The sequence below is a fragment of the Homo sapiens genome, chromosome 17 (genome assembly GCF_000001405.40).
Source record: "Homo sapiens chromosome 17, GRCh38.p14 Primary Assembly".
Classification (NCBI taxonomy): Eukaryota; Metazoa; Chordata; class Mammalia; order Primates; family Hominidae; genus Homo; species Homo sapiens.
This window is the reverse complement of record NC_000017.11, coordinates 42216148-42235511: the sequence shown is the minus strand read 5'-3', so window position 1 is coordinate 42235511 and position 19364 is coordinate 42216148. Positions and strand designations below refer to the sequence as shown.

The following is a 19364-nucleotide window of genomic DNA, read 5'->3' as shown; positions in this document are numbered from 1 at the left end:
GACTCCGTCTCAAAAAAAAAAAAAATTGTAATTGATTATTTAAATGGAAATCTGTTCCATTTTCATGCCTTGGTGTTTCATACTGATATATTGTTCAATTATAACTTTGAAAAGAGCCAATAGAATCGGTCAAATTGTGTGTATACATTTATTTATGCAACAAAAAAATTATGATGCTTATGTGCCAGGTACCGTTCTAGACCCAGGAGAAAGCACGGTGAACAAAACAAAGTCATTGTGTTCATGGTGATTTCACCCTGGTGGGAAGTCAGTAAGCAAATATATGATCAATATCAGGAATTGATAAATGATAAGAAAAATAAAGCAGATTAAGAGGATAGAGAGTGACCAGAATGCCGTTTTATTTGAGTGGGCTGGGAAGGAGTCTCTGGGGAGATAAAAGTTTTCATAGCTTTCCTTCTTTTGTCTCTGAAGTCAATTCACCTAATGAATGCAGATGCAAGAGAATTTTTGTATCTGTTGGTATCACTCACATATTCATTGAGAGCTATGGTGAGGGCCTACTTCTTACTCTTTACTACTTAGGAATACTAACACCTAGATTCTTCTCTTCATTCTTTTATCACTCTTCCATATACTTAAGTGCCTAAGCACCTTCATTCATCCATCCCTTATATAATTTTTTTTCTTGAGACAAAATCTGGCTCTCTTGCCAGGCTGGAGTGCAGTGATGTAATCTCGGCTCACTGCCACCTCTGCCACCCAGATTCAAGCGATTCTCCTGCCTCAGCCTCCCAAGTAGCTGGAATTATAGACGCATGGCACCACACCTGGCTAATTGTTTTGTAATTTTAGTAGAGACGGGGTTTCGCCATGTTGGCCAGGCTTGTCCCGAACTCCTGACCTCAGGTGATCCACCCACCTCAGCCTCCTGAAGTGCTGGGATTACAAGCGTGAGCCACCATGCCTGGCCATCCATTCCTTATCCTTCATCCAAAAATCATGATTTGGTATCTGTTCTGGTTTTCCAAAATCTTGCGATATGATTTATTTGATTAAAAAATACATTGTGCAGTTAAGTGACTTCCAGTGTTTGATTATAAAGTGGAATTGCTTCTGGAGAGAGCTCTTTTATCTAAGTGTTTTGGTGAACTCACAACCACTGAAATTTGATGTCTTGGGTCAAATTGGGTCTACAGTGATCCCAGCCTTAATGCCTAAAAGCCCTAAATAATACACTTCTCAAGTGTTCTATAGCATTGCACTAGTCTAAAATAGATAACTGGCACTCCCCTACACCTCATTGTTGGCTAACTGACTTGTCCCATAAATAGCCCAGTGTTACGTGATCAGACAACTACAACTAACAGAAGAGATTTTTATTTCCTGACACACTTGTACAGTCTCTGGTAGTAAACAAAATCCAAGTCCAAGTCACCGGCCCCTAACTGTAACCTAGTTCTTAGAAGAATTGTGCAAATCAGTAGCCAAATCATGTGGGATGGAATTCAAGATAACCCTGCCTTATACCAAACTCTACATTATGGAAAATAGTGTTAGAGCAAGATTCATTTTCAGTCCTTAGAGTTACCTGAAGTCCCTTCCCAGTCTACCCAAATGTTTCTGCCCTAATCTGGTTAAACTCAAAGAGCATCTGCCAGATGAGTTAAAAATTGTCAGGTGAGTCTGAGGGGGGCATCATGGTAGTTTTATAAAGCCTTTCTTTAAAAAATCAAGAGCATGTTAAAAAAAGAAACTACCGGCTGGGTGCAGTGGCTCACACCTGTAATTCCAGCACTTTGGGAGGCTGAGGTGGGCGGATCACAAGGTCAGGATATCGAGACCATCCTGGCTAACACGGTGAAACCCCATCTCTGCTAAAAGTACAAAAAATTATCCGGGCGTGGTGGCGGGCGCCTGTAGTCCCAGCCACTCGGGAGGCTGAGGCAGGAGAATGGCGTGAACCCGGGAGGCGGGGCTAGCAGTGAGCTGAGATCGCGTCACGGCACTCCAGCCTGGGCAACAGAGCAAGACTCCGTCTCAAATTAAAAAAAAAAAAAAAGAAACTACCTGCTATTGGAGTATAATGGTTCATATTTCCAACTCTTAGGTGGAATGTATTGTTTTTGTGTCTGAAAGATTTGTAAATGCTATAATTTAACAACATTGCTTCATAAATTCCTTAGCAGTAACTCAGGAGGTGAACCTTCGGGCATTTTTCCAGATAAATCTGTGCTCTTTGTGTGCAAAGCATTGCTGCTTAGGTAACTAGTGATAATGCATAGGGTTCAATCAACACTTCAGATATTTTCACTTTTCTTTTACTGGGCTTTTTCAAAATGGCATATGTTTATTATATTTCTGAAGTCAAAATACCAAATCTAAAACAAGTGATTTTTTAAAAAAAATCTCTCAGCTGGGCGCAGTGGCTCACACCTATAACCCCAGCCCTTTGGGAGCTGAGATGGATCACTTGAGGTCAGGAGTTTGAGACCATCCTGGCCAACATGGTGAAACCCCATCTCTACTGAAAATACAAAAATTAGCTGGGTGCGGTGGCGGGCACCTGTAATCTCAGCTACTTGGGAGGCTGAGGCAGTAGAATTGCTTGAACCCGGGAGGCAGAGGTTGCAGTGAGCCGAGATCTTGCCACTGCCCTCCAGTCTGGGCAACAGAGCAAGACTCTGTCTCAAAAAAAAAAAAAAAAAAACTCTCTGCTAATTATTTATTACTGTTGAAATGCTGCTTACCATGGCTGACAATTTTGAACAAAAGTAAAGAATATGTCTACGATGTCAAAGTTAGCAATTCTTTCCCTAATTCTCCTTTTGTACTTTTGCTTATAAGACCTTAGTACATTTCATAGTCAGAGCTTCATAGACCCAGCTGTGTATCTTTCCATGGCCAGGCTGAGTGTCTACATTTTGAAAACATTTTAAAGTTAAAATTCAGTTCAAGAATATTGTCTTTAGTCTACCAAAAGGGCTAAAAACATTTACTTTGGCCAAACGTGGTGGCTCACGCCTGTAATCCCAGCACTTTAGGAGGCTGAGGTGGGAGGATCACTTAAGGTCAGGAGTTCGAGACCAGCCTGGCCAACACGGTGAAACCCCATCTCTACTAAAAATACAAAAATTAACCAAGCATGGTAGTGTGCCCCTGTAATCCCAGCTACTCAGGAGGCTGAGACAGGAGAATCATTTGAACCGGGGAGGCGGAGGTTGTAGTGAGCCAAGATTGTGCCACTGCACTCCAGCTTGGGTGGCAGAGCGAGACTGTCTCAAAAAAATAAAAATAAAAATAAATAATAAAATAAAAACATTTACCTTGGTAACTAAGTGAATATTTACTCTGGTGGATGTAAGGGGAAAATAAAGAAAAAACGCCCAAAGCACTGATTGTTTGTTCAACAGATTGTAAACCATGGCTGTGTGGATACAAGCTCAGCAGCTCCAAGGAGAAGCCCTTCATCAGATGCAAGCGTTATATGGCCAGCATTTTCCCATTGAGGTGCGGCATTATTTATCCCAGTGGATTGAAAGCCAAGCATGGTAGGTGAACAAGGATGTTTGCATCATATTTTGTGAAACACAAGAATATTGGAGTTTGTTTAGAAAGATGTCATGATGGCAACTTTCAAAGTTGTATTTTTAAACATTTTTAAATGTGATCCATAAAAAGGTATTTAAAATTTTTTTTCTTTTTATAGGTGAAAGGTATTTAAGCCCATCTTAGATTGAGGGGATGGAATAACTCTTGGGATTTTTAAAACAGGATTTGTTCCCCTTTAATAGTAAATACTGTCTAAAAGCATTAGAATATTACTGCTAAGAAAGAGCAGCCAACAAATATGTTTCGAGTGCCCATGGGATGCCTAGCAGTGTCCTAAGTAGTAGAATTTATATGAAAAAAATTAAAGCCCAACATTGTGTTGTAATCCCAACACTTTGGGAGGCCAAGGCAGGTGTACTGCTTGAGCCCAGGAGTTCAAGGAAGGCCTGAGCAACATAGCAAAACCCTGTCTCTGTACAAAATACAAAAATTAGCCAGGTGTGGTGGTGTGCACCTGTAGTACCAGCTACTTGGGAGGCTGAGGTGGGAGGATCACTTGAGCCTGGGAGGCAAAGGTTGCTGTAACCCATGATCACACCACTACACTCCAGCCTAAGCAACAGAGTGAGACCCTGTCTCAAAACAAACAAACAAACAAAATTAAAGCCCTCATCTCCAGATAATTCAGTGTTTCACTGGACATGGTGGTGCACACCTATAATCCCAGCTACCCAGGATGCTGAGGTGGGAGGATTGCTTGACCCCAGCAGTTTGAGGCCAGCCTAGGCAACATAGCAAGATCCTATGTCAAAAAATAATAATAATAATTTAGTGTTTAATGGGGCAGATAGGTGTGAATATGCATATAATTTAATTATAATTTATTTCTTATAGTTTATTAAATATAAATTATTTTACATTTCTTAATAAGTTTACATCTAACAAAAAACTAAAAATTAATAATTTAACAGTGGAGACATTGGTGTTTTTAATTTATATGTATTTTATATATACACATAAAGACTAAAAGAAAATTGAGTGGGTGTTGTGGCTCATGCCTGTAATCCCAGCACTTTGGGAGGCCAAGGCAGGCAGATCACTGGAGGCCAGGAGTTCTGAGACAAGCCTGGCCAACATGGCAAAATCCCATCTCTACTGAAAATACAAAAAATTAGTTGGGCGTGGTGACGGGCGCCTGTAATCCCAGCTACTCTGGAGGCTAAAGCATGAGAATCGCTTGAAGTCGGGAGGCAGAGGTTGCAGTGAGCCGAGATCGCACTACTGCACTCCAGCCTGGGCAACAGAGTGAGACTGCCTTTAAAAAAAAAAAACAAAACTAAACGAAAATATACCCAAATGTTAACACTAATTACATTCTGGTGGTAGATTTGATAAGCATTTTAATTTTTCTTTATTTTCCAGATTACTGATTACATACTTGGGGGAGGGGAGAGTTGTTTTAAATTTCTTTTAGAATTAGTACAGTGCAGTCGACTAACAGCACAGGTTTTTAATTGGTATCATTATTACACACCAGGCAGCAGGATGTACACTGCTCTGCTCAAGGTCTGGGAGGTTGCTGGTTGGTTACAGTCTGTCAGTCGATCTGACATATTCATTTGATACTTCAAGCCTCACCGTCTTAGCCATGGGTCCTCTTTGACAGTCCCTGAGAGAACCAGCTTTGATGCTGCTATTTGCAAAGGGCCATATACCTGTCTGTAATGTTGCCTTAGAATAATCGCAATGCGTGTTAGTAGCAAATTTCTGTTCAGAAACTAAAGATCACCAAAGAAAGGCAATTTTCTAGGCAATTAAAAAAAAACTCAACTTCATGTAATTAAGTGAGGGAAAAAAATTAGCTAAATATGAGAATGTCAGCTGTACCTCGTTTAGTGCTTTCCACTCCCTTTTCATTTTCTCTCCTGTTTTCTGATGTGGAGGATTTAGAAAAACATGAGTAGGAAGTTGCTGTTAATTTCAGATTTCACTTAGCAGAGTTCTCATTTGGTGTTCTCACTGAATGAATTAAAAGACTTGTGTTGATATTAAGGAAAACTTGAAATTTTTTAGCTTTGGTTTTCTTCAGAATATAAAGATTTTAATGAAGAATTTTCAATTCTTTTTTTTTTTTGAGATGGAGTCTCGCTCTGTCACCAGGCTGCAGTGGCGTGATCTCGGCTCACTGCAATCTCCGCCTCCCGGGTTCAAGCAATTCTCGTGCCTCAGCTTCCCGAGTAGCTGGGACTGCAGGTGCCCGCCACCACACCGAGCTAATTTTTGTATTTTTAATAGAGACGGGGTTTCATCATGTTGGCCAGGCTGGTCTCTAACTCCTGACCTTGTGATCTGCCCATTTCGGCCTCCCAAAGTGCTGGGATTAAAAGCTTGAGCCACCGGGCCCAGCCAAATCTTTAGTTCTTTATGTTTAAGCCATCTAAGCAAGTCTTTTTTTTTTTTAACAGAGAATTAAGGTTTCAAGTAAAGAACCAATACCTGACTTCTGTGAGTTTTGCTCAGAGACTGGATCCTTTTAAGAGTGGGCTCCTGGCCGGGCACGGTGGCTCACGCCTGTAATCCCAGCACTTTGGGAGGCTGAGGTGGGTGGATCACTTGAGATCAGGAGTTTGAGACCAGCCTGGCCAACATGGTAAAACCCCGTCTCTATTAAAAATACAAAAATTAGCCAGGCGTGGTGGTGCACGCCTGTAATTCCAGCTACTTGGGAGGCTGAGGCAGGAGAATCACTTGAACCCGGGAGGCAGAGGTTGCAGTGAGCTAAGATCGTGCTACTGCATCCCAGCCTGGGTGACAGAGTGAGACTTCGTCTCAAAGAAAAAGAGTGGGTTTCCAGACCAAGGGCATTGTTGCCAGTTGAAACAGAGGTGCAGGGCTGCCCTCATTCCTTCCAGCCTTTCATTTAATACGTATTCTATTTAATACATAGGGCACACATATTTAGAATCTGACTTGCCTTAACTGCCTTCTCAAGGCGCAGATTGGGGTGTACTATTTGATGGACTATGGTATCACTGCTTTTTTTGTTTTGTTTTGTTATGTTTTCGTAGAGAGAATCTTGCTTTGTCACCCAGGCTGGAGTGCAGTGGCGCAATCTTGGCTCACTGCAACCTCCACCTCCTGGGTTCAAGCAGTTCTCCTGCCTCAGCCTCCCAAGTAGCTGGGACTACAGGCACATGCCGCCACGCCCGGATAATTTCTTTTGTGTTTTAGTAGAGATGGGGTTTCACCGTGTTGCCCAGGCTGATCTCCAACTCCTGAGCTCAGGTAATCCGCCTGCCTCGGCCTCCCAAAATGCTAGGATCACAGGCGTGAGCCACCACGCCCGGCCGGTCTCACTGTTTTGATACACTTGTTGGTGCCTCTTTTTTGAAATTAGTTGCTATCTTCAGGGATTTAGGGATGGCAGAGCCTTTTAGCTACCACTATCTTGTTTGGCTCCAGACCCAGTCAGCAGTTATTGAATGTTATTTCAGTCCGACAGCTGTTTGGTTTCTTCAGTGAGTAAGTAATTTGGTACTTCCCAGTGTCAATTGTTGCCTAAGTAGTAGAAAGGAAGGAAGGAACGGAAGGAAAGAAGGAAAGAAGGAAAGAAAGGAGGGAGGGAGACCATCCAACCCCCGTCACCAGTTCAGTAGCTTGAAATCAATGCAAAGTCTGTAGCGTGGTTTTCCTTGTTTACTGGAAAAGTTGGCATTGCCTTCAGGTCCTGGGTCTGCAACTAGTGACATGAATGTCTGACTCGTATAAATTCTTGTAGGCACCCTCTGCCTGAATGTCTCATTTCCAGGGCTTCTTAGAAATAGCAATAACTTGTTTCACCTGTCTCTACCTAAGAAACCCACAGATACCAAACTCCTTGAGGCTGGAAAGGACATGTAGAAGAGTCTTGGCCTTGTGCCTCCTTTACACCCATGAGGGGTAACTATAAATAGGAAATTATCCAAGTCCTTATTTCCTTCAGAGTACACAGAACCCTTTCCTTTTCCTTGCATTTCTCGGAGCAAATAGCATAAGCACCAAGCACATCATTGAGAGAAAGGAAGAAGGGCAGCACATTGTTAAAAATTTTTTTTTTTAAAAGAAGGAAATCTACTGTATAATCCAACTATTTAGTAAATTACAAATAGATTAACATAGGCATTGAGTCCATTTCTGTTGGGCTGTTTCTTAAAATTTGCAGTGAGGATTAAAAACATCACTTTAGTTGAAGAAAAAGTAGGATGTGTTGAGGCTGTATTTATACAGGCTCACGTGCATGTATGTATACAGATTATGTAATTTTTTTCCCCTAGGGACTCAGTAGATCTTGATAATCCACAGGAGAACATTAAGGCCACCCAGCTCCTGGAGGGCCTGGTGCAGGAGCTGCAGAAGAAGGCAGAGCACCAGGTGGGGGAAGATGGGTTTTTACTGAAGATCAAGCTGGGGCACTATGCCACACAGCTCCAGGTGGGTGTGGGCTCTGGGGTCACACTTAATTACCTTCCCTTGGGGGTCTTCTTCCTGTAGAGACTTTCTTTCTCTCCTTCAGTCCAGCATTGTTGAGTTACACGTGCATAAGGTTCTTGTTGTGTGGTTTTGGTCTTTTTTTTTTTTTTTACTTTTTATTTGAGAATAATTTCATACTTCCAGAAAGTTACAAGAATCATACAAAGATTCCCCACATATGCCCATATTCACCTGTTGTTGACTTTTATGTTGTCATATACTCCTCGCTGTCTCTCGACACACACGTTTTTCAGTCACTGGAGAGTAAGTTGCATACCTTGTGTCCCTGCACCAGTAAGTACCTCTGTGCATTTTCTATTTATTTATTTATTTATTTATTTATTTATTTATTTTTGAGACGGAGTCTTGCTCTGTCGCCCAGGCTGGAGTGCAGTGGAGCAATCTCAGCTCACTGCAACCTCTGCCTCCCGGGTTCAAGCGATTCTTCTGCCTCAGCCTCTCAAGTAGCTGGGATTACAGGCTCCTGCCACCATGCCTGGCAGTTTTTTTTTTTTTTTGGTATTTTTAGTGGAGACGGGGTTTTGCCATGTTGGCCACAGTGGTCTTGAACTCCTGACCTCAGGTGATCCGCCCACCTCAGCCTCCCAAAGTGTTGAAATTATAGGCATGAGCCACTATGCCCGGTCCCTCTGTGCATTGTCTTTTTTTTTTTTTTTTTTTGAGATGGAGTTTCACTCTTGTTGCCCAGGCTGGAGTGCAGTGGCGCGGTCTCGGCTCACCGCAACCTCCACCTCCCGGGTTCAAGTGATTCTCCTGCCTCAGCCTCCCAAGTAGCTGGGACTACAGGTGCATGCCACCACACCCGCCTAATTTTTGTATTTTTAGTAGAGATGGGGTTTCTCCATGTTGGTCAGGCTGGTTTCGAACTCCCGACCTCAGGTGATTCACCCTCCTCGGCCTCCCAAAGTGCTGGGATTACAGGCATGAGCCACCGCACCCAGCCCCTCTGTGCATTTTCTAAGAATGAACCTTGTCTTGCATGGTTATAATACACTGATCAACTTCACTAAATTTAGCATTGATATAATACTTTTAGGTACTCATCTGGATTTCCATTTTGTCAACTAATTCAAACATGTCCTTTAGGGTATTTTTCCCCGCTGCAGTCCAGAATCCAGCCCAAGATCACATATTGCATCTAGTCATCATGTCTCTTTAATCTCCTTTAATCTGGAACCATTTTGCAACCTTACTTTGTCTTTCATTACATTGGCATTTTAAAATAATTAATGTAGGCTGGGTGCAGTGGCTCACACCAGTAATCCCAGCACTTTGGGAGGCTGAGGCGGGTGAATCATCTGAGGTCAGGAGTTCGAGACCAGCCTGGCCAACATGGTGAAACCCCATCTCTACTAAAAATACAGAAATTAACTGGGTGTGGCAGTGGACAACTGTAATCCCAGCTACTTGGGAGGCTGAGGCAGGAGAATCTCTTAAACCTGGGAGGCAGAGGTTGCAGTGAGCCGAGACCGTGCCATTGCACTCCAGCCTGGGTGACAAGAGTGAAATTCCATCTCAAAAAATAATAATAATAATTCATGTACCCCCTGCTTTTTAAAGATAAAATGTTCCTCATTTGGGGTTTGTCTGATGTTTCCTCATGATTACGTTAACATTGCACATCTCCGAGCAGACTTCTAAATATAGTTGGCTGTCCATGTCCATGGGTTCTGCATCCTGATTCCACCAACCGCAGCTCAGAAATATTCAGGAAAAGAAAAAAAGTAAAAACAAATAGAAATAAAGATATGACAGAACAGCTATTTACATAGCATTTCTTTTGTATTAGATAGTATAAGCAATCTATAGGTGGTTTAAAGTGTATGGGAGGATTGTATGCATTCTATGCAAAACGATGCCATTTTATATAAGGAACTTGAGCATCTGCAGATTTTGGTATCCAAGTGGGTCCTGGAACCAGCCCCCACAGATGCCAAGGGACAATTGTAGGTGACTTGTCCTTCTCGGGTATCACATCCAGAGGGGGGCAGTGTCCCTCGTCCCCTCATTGGTGGTAGTAGTTTTGATTGCCCATTTGAGAGTGGCATCCAGTTTCTCCTCTTGCGAGGCTTTTAAAACTTATTTATTCCGTTTTTAAGAATGTTCCCCGGATACTTTAGGCAAATTAAGATGCAAAAAGTAAAACAGCACTTTGGGAGGCTAAGGCAGGTGGATCACCTGAGGTCAGGAGTTCGAGACCAGCCTGGCCAACATGGTGGAACCCCATCTCTACTAAAAAGACAAAAATTAGCCAGGCGTGGTGGCGGGCCCCTGTAATCCCAGCTACTCGGGGGGCTAAGGCAGGAGAATTACTTGAACCCAGGAGGCAGAGGTTGCAGTGGCCCGAGGTTGTGCCACTGCACTCCAGCCTGGGCAACAGAGTGAGACTCAGTCTCAAAAAAAGAAAAAAGAAGTAAAACAATCTTACCTTTTCACTGCAATTGGATTTCCATGATGTGCCTTCTTGTTCCTGTTGGTATTGGAGGAACAGTGCCTCCTGTGATTCAGGAGGTCCCTCAGGAGGCTCCCCATCCTGAGGCATGGTTAGGGCCCATAGTGTGGAGTGGCACAAAGTGATGTCTGCTGTTGGATTCTTTCAGAACACGTATGACCGCTGCCCCATGGAGCTGGTCCGCTGCATCCGCCATATATTGTACAATGAACAGAGGTTGGTCCGAGAAGCCAACAATGTGAGTGTCCCATAGGGATGGGGAGGGCAGTCGGGAAGTCTTTTCTTACCCACCTCCCTCTGGACCCACCTTTGTCAAGGTGACTCAGGGTGCACTATTGGTGTCTCTTTAAAGAGAGCTTCATCCTAAGGGGCACAAAAGAAATAGGAGACTTGACTGAGTGCAGCCCAGCACTTTGGGAGGCTGAGGCAGGCAGATTGCCTGAGCCCAGGAGTTCGAGAGCACCCTGGGCAACATGATGAAACCCCGTCTCTACCAAAAATACAAAAAAATTAGCTGGGCATGGTGGCATATGCCTGTAGTCCTGGCTGTTCGAAAACCTGAAGTGGGAAGATCCCTTGAGCCCAGGAGGTAGAGGCTGCAGTGAGCCATGATCGCACCCCTGCACTCATGGGTGATGGAGTGAGACCCTGTCTCAAAAAAAAAAAAATGAAATAGAAGATGTGGTCTCTGATCTTAACTGATTTATAACCTTGATGAGATTGCAACCACAAGACAATGTGAACAAGTGCAAAGTAATTCAACCTCAGCTGAATAATTTTTTAGTAAAGGCATGCTCATATTCAGGTGAGAATACTTAGGAAAGACTTTTCCCTAGCCCCTGAATCAGGTGTGGAAGGAGTGGTCTGATCAGGTCACTTACAGGGCTGGGTCCACAGAGACCTTGTTTATGCCTCCCCCATCACTTCACCCTGGGGTCTCCAGGATGCCTGCAAGAGGTTTGGCCTCTTCCATGGTGGAAGCAAATGATTCCATCACGAGAATATCTTGAGTGAGGACACAGATGATGTGTGTTCACATGGCCCTGCTCCCCATGGCCTCCCTAATGCTTAATGCCGTCCTTGCATTGGGTCAGTGAGTGGAAGAGGAATCACTCCACCTCCTCATTAGTAGGAAAACCCAGGTGACACTGGACCAGGTTACGTTCTAGTTTCTCCAAAGGTAATTCAATGGACCTCGTTTGGAATACTCTGGTGGAGGTCAGATCTGAAATGGAAGCTTCTCCCATGCTTTGTGATCTGAGCCATGATCTGTCCGCTCACCTGTTTCTCACTTTTCCCACTCCACCCTGTGTCTCATGATGACGTTTGCTTTTCCTCCCGACTCAAAATTTACCTTTTGGGGTCTTACCCTGGTTGTAGGAGCTGGCTTTTCCTGGGGATTAAGGCCTCAGTCTTCCTCCCATTCGCACTGCCTTGCACTGCCCCCCATATGTTCCCAGGGTAGCTCTCCAGCTGGAAGCCTTGCTGATGCCATGTCCCAGAAACACCTCCAGATCAACCAGACGTTTGAGGAGCTGCGACTGGTCACGCAGGACACAGAGAATGAGTTAAAAAAGCTGCAGCAGACTCAGGAGTACTTCATCATCCAGTACCAGGAGAGCCTGAGGATCCAAGGTGAGGCGCGGTGGAGGCACATTGTGCAACTTGAGGATTGGGCCTGGGGACTGGAAAGCAGCTCTGGTGGGGTTGGGAGAAAGCACACTTTCCATTCGGAGGCAGCGACCTTTCTCTGAGTAGCAGGGACTTATTTGCATTGAAGACAGTGCTGAGAGGATGAGATTTAGGAAGGGGAGATGACAGGACCCCCCGCTTAAGTGCATATCTCACTCAGGTCCCCACATCCAGGGAGCTTCTGAGCTGCCAGGGAAGACATTTCTTCTTTTGAGAAGGAGCTCACAGTCTAAATAAATACTAGCAAACAATACTTTTGTATATAGTAGGCATATTATAAGTGGAGCTTTATTGAAATGATAAATAGGAAATTATATAATTACATGTTTAAAAATTTTTCTGGCTGGGCACGGTGGCTCACACCTGTAATCCCAGCACTTTGGGAGGCTGAGGCAGGCGGATCACCTGAGGTCAGGAGTTCGAGACCAGCCTGGCCAACATGGTGAAACCCCGTCTCTACTAAAAATACAAAATTAGCTGGGCATCCCAGTGGCGCATGCATGTAATCCCAGCTACTTGGGAGGCTGAGGCAAGAGAATCTCTTGAACCCGGGAGGCGGAGGTTGCAGGGAGCCGAGATCTCACCATTGCACTCCAGCCTGGACAAAAAGAGCAAAATTCTGTCTCAAAAAAAAAAAAAAAAAATTCTAAGCTGGGAGTGGTTTTGCACACCTGTAATCCTGGTGCTTTGGGAGGCCAGGGCAGGAGGATCACTTGAGGCCAGTAGTTTCAGACTAGCTTAGGCAACATAGTAAGACCCTATCTCTAAGGGGGAAAAGAAACCTTTCTAAGCAGGTACGTGTAAGTACTAAGGACCTGTATATGATTTCTAATGTTCTATGCAGTTATTCACAGAGGTCTTCCTGAAACAGAGTACACTTAACGCCCCTTAGGTAGCCCTTATGGACAGAGCTTCCCTAGCCTGGTATAAATCCTGCTTAGTAGTTGGGGCACAGAGAGCTTCAGTCTGTGGTGAGGCTGTGGAGCCCCACCAGCGCCCCCTTTTGACCCTGTAGCAGTTTGGCAGTTTGAGCTTTAATAGTTTCCTCTCTGCTTCCATGCCCAGCTCAGTCTCAGAGAAGCCTTGGCTCAACCACCCAGCCCCTCCAAACACACACACACACAGCACACACAGACAACACAGCACACACACACACCACACACATCACACACACAGCACACACACACACAGCACACACACCCCCCACAGCACACAGAGACACACAGTGCACACACACAGCACACACACACCACACACAGCACACACACAGACACACAGCACACACACACCACACCACACACACCACACCACACACAGCACACACACACCACACCACACACAGCACACACACACCACACATAGCACACACACACACCACACATACACACCACACACACATAGACACACAGCACACACACACACACACAGCACATGCTCCTCTAATTCCATGTATGTAGGTTCCATTTTATGTCTATAGTGATACTACTTATTTACTCTTTATCTTCTCCACTGGAATATAAATCTTTGAGAAGGGACTATATCTTTTATCTCTGTACCCTGAGGCCAGCACAATGCCTGAAACATAACAGTTATTGAGTAAAGGTTGACAGGATGATTCTAGCCTGTCTTCCTTTTTTATCTGAATCCATCCTAGACTGGCCCTAGAAGAAGGGCAGCTCCTTCAGAGAATGGAAACGGAAGATTTGGGATGGCTATTCCTACCCAAGTCCTTAGACTGTCAACAGTATTTCTGATCCCGTGCCTGGCTTTTCTGTTTCCTGTGCATGGTGGCGGATTAGGTTTGGATTCAGGTTGGGTTTGGATCTATCACGCAGTGTCTTCTCAGTCCCATTTGTCAAGTTCACTCAGCAGAAACACAGACTATTGATCTGCTTTTGCCAGGGAAGGCTCAGCTGCCTCCAGTGGAGTAGGGAAATTGCTTCCCGTCTCCCTGGCCTCCTTCCCAAAAGCTTCTGCAAATTTCCAGGAGAGCCCTAAGTGGGTCCCTTGCATAGGAAGGCTGGGCCCAGGTGTTGGGATCACCACCACCCTCCCTGTGGCTGGGCAGGATTCCTGAGGTAGCCGTGCAGATACCTTGGATCTGTCCGTCCCTGGATGATCCTCTTCCTGCTCGATACCTGCAGTGAGATTGGAGCCATATTTCTGAGTTCTAGCTCTGGGCTGTTCCTGGCTACATAGAGTTGCTTTTGTCTGTCCCAGCTTGTGCATCCCATGGGTCAGGGCTGGGGTCAGAGTGACGTGGCCCTCAGGGGCCAGCCAGGAGCTCGACCAAGACATGCTGGTGCGCGCATCTTCTGACTCAGCTCAAGCAAGGACTCTGGGCTGTTGAGAAGGTGATGGGAAGGGATTAATAGTCCCAGTGTGGTGGAGACGGGCTGTCGCTGGGAGGGTGGGGTGGGCCTGCGGTGGTGGTTGTAACTGTGGACATGTTTACTTTCTTAGCCTGGGTTATTGATACACAGGTGCTCCTGTGTTCCACGTTCCCTGTGTCTTACCTATTTCATAATAATTTTTAAAAGGTAATGAGGCCTAACTTACTCCCTGTCCCGCCATCAATGAGACTCCTCACAGATGGTGTGGAGGGAAGCCGCCTCCCTTCGGCCTCCCTTTCCTGAGAGAATCTTGGTGGCTCTGCATCCCCAGTGGCCCTGGACATGCTCTCCCTCTGCGGTCTGTCTGTCTGTCCGTGTTCCCTGGTTGGTTGGCTGGGTTCACAGTGAGCTCACCTGGACAAACATGCTGGGCCCCTTCCAGCCTCTCAAGAATCTCATCCTCCCCTGAGGAGGGATTGCTGTGCTCAGGGACTAGACAGAGCCGCCGGGGCTGGGTTTCCCTGAAGAGGCCTTGCTGCGGGAGGGATGGGGCCGAGCAGCTGCTTGTCTCTGTCACCTCTTCTCTCTGTCCTGTTCCCCGTTAACCAAGAAGCACGAACCTCACACAGAGCTCACCCATGTCAGGCAGCTTTCTGGCATCTTCCATGTCCTCATGTATTTAATCTTAATGCACCCCACTGAGGCAGGTGCCGAGAATCTCCCGTTTTACACGTGGGGAAGCCAAGGCACAGGAAAGGAAAGCGATTTGCCCAGGTTCACCTGCAGTCAAGGGCATGGGCACACTTACACCCCAGACAGCCTGGACCCATGCTGGGCCGCGAGAAGAGGGCTGGCAGCCCTGTGAGGCAGGCGGGCAGGAGGCAGGCAGGCCTCCTCCCCAGCTGCCCCAGCACCCGTGTGCCCCCAGAGGGGACGGCTCAGAGTCAGGAGGCTGGCGAGCAGGGCCCAGAGGCGCCTCCTGGGGCACCCATTCATCTTGGCCCCCCTGGCTGTCAGGAACCCCGACTTGCCCTTAATGCAGTATCTGAGCCCAGGAGGGTCTCGCTCCAGAACGGGTGAGTGGGCTTCTCTGGGCCTCCTGTTGGACACTGGGAGGTGATGGTCATGGTTTCCTCTCCCCTCCTCTAGCTCAGTTTGGCCCGCTGGCCCAGCTGAGCCCCCAGGAGCGTCTGAGCCGGGAGACGGCCCTCCAGCAGAAGCAGGTGTCTCTGGAGGCCTGGTTGCAGCGTGAGGCACAGACACTGCAGCAGTACCGCGTGGTGAGTGGGGTCCTGGGCCTCTCCTGGGCGTGGGTGCCATGAAGTCAGTCTCTGGGGACCCGAGGGAGGGCTGGGACCAGCATGAGAGCAGAACCTGGGAGGGCAGGAGGCCTTTTTTCCTGGGGGCCTTGCGAGGCAGAGCAGCTTGGGGAGAGGGAACGGCCTGGGCCCTGCCCTGCCATTTCCCAGCGAGGCCCTGCGGTGTTCTCTGGGAGCCCAGAAGGGGCTGCTCTCCTCCCTTCCCTCAGGAGCTGGCCGAGAAGCACCAGAAGACCCTGCAGCTGCTGCGGAAGCAGCAGACCATCATCCTGGATGACGAGCTGATCCAGTGGAAGCGGCGGCAGCAGCTGGCCGGGAACGGCGGGCCCCCCGAGGGCAGCCTGGACGTGCTACAGTCCTGGTAATGGTGTGGGGCGGCCAGCGGGCAGGGCAGGAGGGGCTGGTGGGGATCCCGGCTGCTTCTGCGTCCTGTGCTGGCTCCTGCAGCAGGCCCCCTCCATCCTGGGACAGCTCTTGTTTCTCCAGGGAGCCTGGTTCCTCAATCAGACTTTGGCCCCCATCCTGTGCACCTCCCCCAGGAAGGGGGCTGCTGTCCTGGAGATGGGACAGGGTTCGGGTGTGTGGGGTGATGCTTGGGCTGTTTGGGCCTAGTCAGGGTCGCCCCTCCTGTGTACGTCTCTAATTCTGGGAGGCAGGGAGCTCTGCTCTTCCCATGGGTGGGAAGTGTGGCGAAAGCACAGAGCCTTCCTGGGGGAACGGGAGCTGTGTCTTGGGGCCTGGCGTCTGTGCGGAGGAGCCATTGTCCTCCTGTTGGCCTTGGGGCTCTCGTGCAGGTGTGAGAAGTTGGCCGAGATCATCTGGCAGAACCGGCAGCAGATCCGCAGGGCTGAGCACCTCTGCCAGCAGCTGCCCATCCCCGGCCCAGTGGAGGAGATGCTGGCCGAGGTCAACGCCACCATCACGGACATTATCTCAGCCCTGGTGACCAGGTGACTGCTGCCTGTTTGCCATGCCCAGGAGCTTGGGGCAGCTCCTGCCTGCGTGGGGGGAGCCGCAGGTGCCTTCCAGACCAGCAGATCCACTTCCTGCCTCTCATCCCTCCCAACTCCATCTCCAGTTGCTGTGGCCCTTGCCCAGTTTCTCCTGTGGACACTGCAAGAGATGCCCTTGGGCTGCAGCCCATGCCAGCTTCTGTGTTATCTCACTCCCCTCTCCATCCTCTCCCTGGACTCTCACGGCTTCCCCAGGAACAGAGGCTGTGCCCGAGCTCTTCACCTCCTGAGCCCCTCGGGAGGCAGCCCCACCCCCACCACAGAGGGACTGAGAGCCCTTTCCCCTGCACCAGCCCCTCATCATGCATCTGTCCCTGTGTCCCCTGCAGCACGTTCATCATTGAGAAGCAGCCTCCTCAGGTCCTGAAGACCCAGACCAAGTTTGCAGCCACTGTGCGCCTGCTGGTGGGCGGGAAGCTGAACGTGCACATGAACCCCCCCCAGGTGAAGGCCACCATCATCAGTGAGCAGCAGGCCAAGTCTCTGCTCAAGAACGAGAACACCCGCAAGTAATTGTGCAGCTTCCTCTCATTCCCTGCTACTTGTCTCATGTCCTGGCAACAGGAAAAAAAGAATTCTGCCTCCTGTGTCAGATCCCTGTTTGCCCTTCTGGCCTCTTCTGGGCATCAGCAAAGGAATATAAGGAAGTTCTTGGGCCTGGTGTGGTGGCTCACACCTGTAATCCAAGCACTTTAAGAGGCCGAGGTGGGCAGATCACCTGAGGTCAGGAGTTCAAGACCAGCCTGGCCAACATGGTGAAACCCTGTCTCTACTAAAAATACAAAAAATTAGCCGGGCGTGGTGGCAGGCACCTGTAATCCCAGCCACTAGAGAGCCTGAGGCAGGAGAATCCCTTGAACCTGGGAGGCAGAGATTGCAGTGAGCTGAGATTGCAGTGAGCTGAGATCACGCCACTGCACTCCAGCCTGGGCAACAAGAGCAAAACTCCGTCACAAAAAAAAAAAAAAAAGTTCTCTTAGGAACTGTTTTCTGTGAAGATAGTTTGATCTTGTTTCATTTTGTAGAGATACGTCCGAGAAGATTACATGTATGTGTTATGTAGCTAACATTTCCTCTAAATGACGTACATTTTTAGCAAACTTCTCTATTTCCTGCTACCCCAAATTATATTATTTACTCCGCATGTCCTGAGACCCTGGCATGGGTTTGGAGCTGGTCTCTCTCTGATTTGCAGTGATTACAGTGGCGAGATCTTGAACAACTGCTGCGTCATGGAGTACCACCAAGCCACAGGCACCCTTAGTGCCCACTTCAGGAATATGGTGAGGGTGGAAGAAGAGGAAGAATGAATTTTTCCCTGGTCTTTGAGGGGAACAACTTATATCTTACGTTTCATCTTATGTTTCTTCTTTGTAGTCCCTGAAACGAATTAAGAGGTCAGACCGTCGTGGGGCAGAGTCGGTGACAGAAGAAAAATTTACAATCCTGTTTGAATCCCAGTTCAGTGTTGGTGGAAATGAGCTGGTTTTTCAAGTCAAGGTAAAGCCTTCCCTCAGCTCTGCGTGTGCGTGTGCGTGTGTGTGTGTGGTGTACTTTATGTTACAAAATATTTTTTTTTTATCACATAGCATCTTCTTCTTTTTGACTGTTGGTAAACTGAAAATGGACTGACCTCACCCTGAGAACTGTTTCACTTAGGTTCTCTTAAGACATGAACAGAGGCCAAGCACAGTGGCTCATGCTTGTAATCCCAGCACTTTGGTAGGTTGAGGCAGTCAGGTCACTTGAGGTCAAGAGTTCAAGACCAGCCTGGCTAACACAGTGAAACCCCATCTCTACTAAAAAGTACAAAAATTAGCCAGGCGTGGTGGCACGTGCCTATAATCCCAGCTACTCAGGAGAATCACTTGAACCTGGGAGGCTGAGGTTGTAATGAACCGAGATTGTGCCACTGCACTCCAGCCTGGGTGAAAGAGTGAGACCCTGTCTCAAAAAAAAAAAAAAAAGACATGAACAAGCAAGGCCCAGTGCAGTGGCTCACATCTGTAATCCTAACACTTTGGGAGGCCAAGGCAGGAGGATTGCTTGAGTTCAGGAGTTCCAGACCAGCCTGGAGCTGGTTGTGAGACCCCGTCTCAACAACAACAACAAATTAAAAAATAAAAAATAAAACATGAACAAACAATAATGAACTGAACTAGCTGGAGAGGTAGACTACAAAATGGATATGAGAAACATTACTTGGGATGAATTTGAGTAAAGGTTGTGGTAAGTTTTAAATTTGTTATTTGTATTTTCTTCCCAGAAATATCTCCAATAGTCTTTTCTCTCTCCTGTTCTCCATGTAACTTTGAGAAACTTTATCCTTCAGAAATATCTAAGCAACATTGCTTGTAAAATATTTAAAATTTCTAAGATTGTGCCAGTATGAAAAGTCATATTATTCCTGGGGCCATTTAGATTCTGTGTCTGAGAGGAACATTAACTGAAACTTGGAAAATAAAAGTGTTGTTATAATAAGAAAAAAAAAAAAGAGAGAAGGAGAAGAACT

General features: G+C 47.0%; 1 protein-coding gene across 6 annotated transcripts in view; it reads left to right on the top strand.

Annotated features, from left to right (window-relative positions):
* Positions 1-19364, top strand: part of STAT5B (signal transducer and activator of transcription 5B) — an 89194-nt gene that overhangs the window by 52859 nt on the left and 16971 nt on the right. For 4 of the 6 annotated variants that reach the window (XM_024450897.2, NM_012448.4, XM_024450898.2 and 1 more), the window contains exons 2-11: positions 3375-3512; positions 7827-7983; positions 10644-10733; positions 11956-12130; positions 15670-15800; positions 16049-16200; positions 16634-16789; positions 17182-17361; positions 18048-18135; positions 18230-18352. In XM_024450897.2, coding sequence (XP_024306665.1) covers positions 3385-3512; positions 7827-7983; positions 10644-10733; positions 11956-12130; positions 15670-15800; positions 16049-16200; positions 16634-16789; positions 17182-17361; positions 18048-18135; positions 18230-18352 — 1380 coding nt within the window. In that variant the 5' untranslated portion in view covers positions 3375-3384. The remainder of the gene's footprint in view (positions 1-3374; positions 3513-7826; positions 7984-10643; positions 10734-11955; positions 12131-15669; positions 15801-16048; positions 16201-16633; positions 16790-17181; positions 17362-18047; positions 18136-18229; positions 18353-19364) is intronic. The other 2 variants (XM_047436593.1, XM_017024977.2) reach the window with 1 other exon arrangement.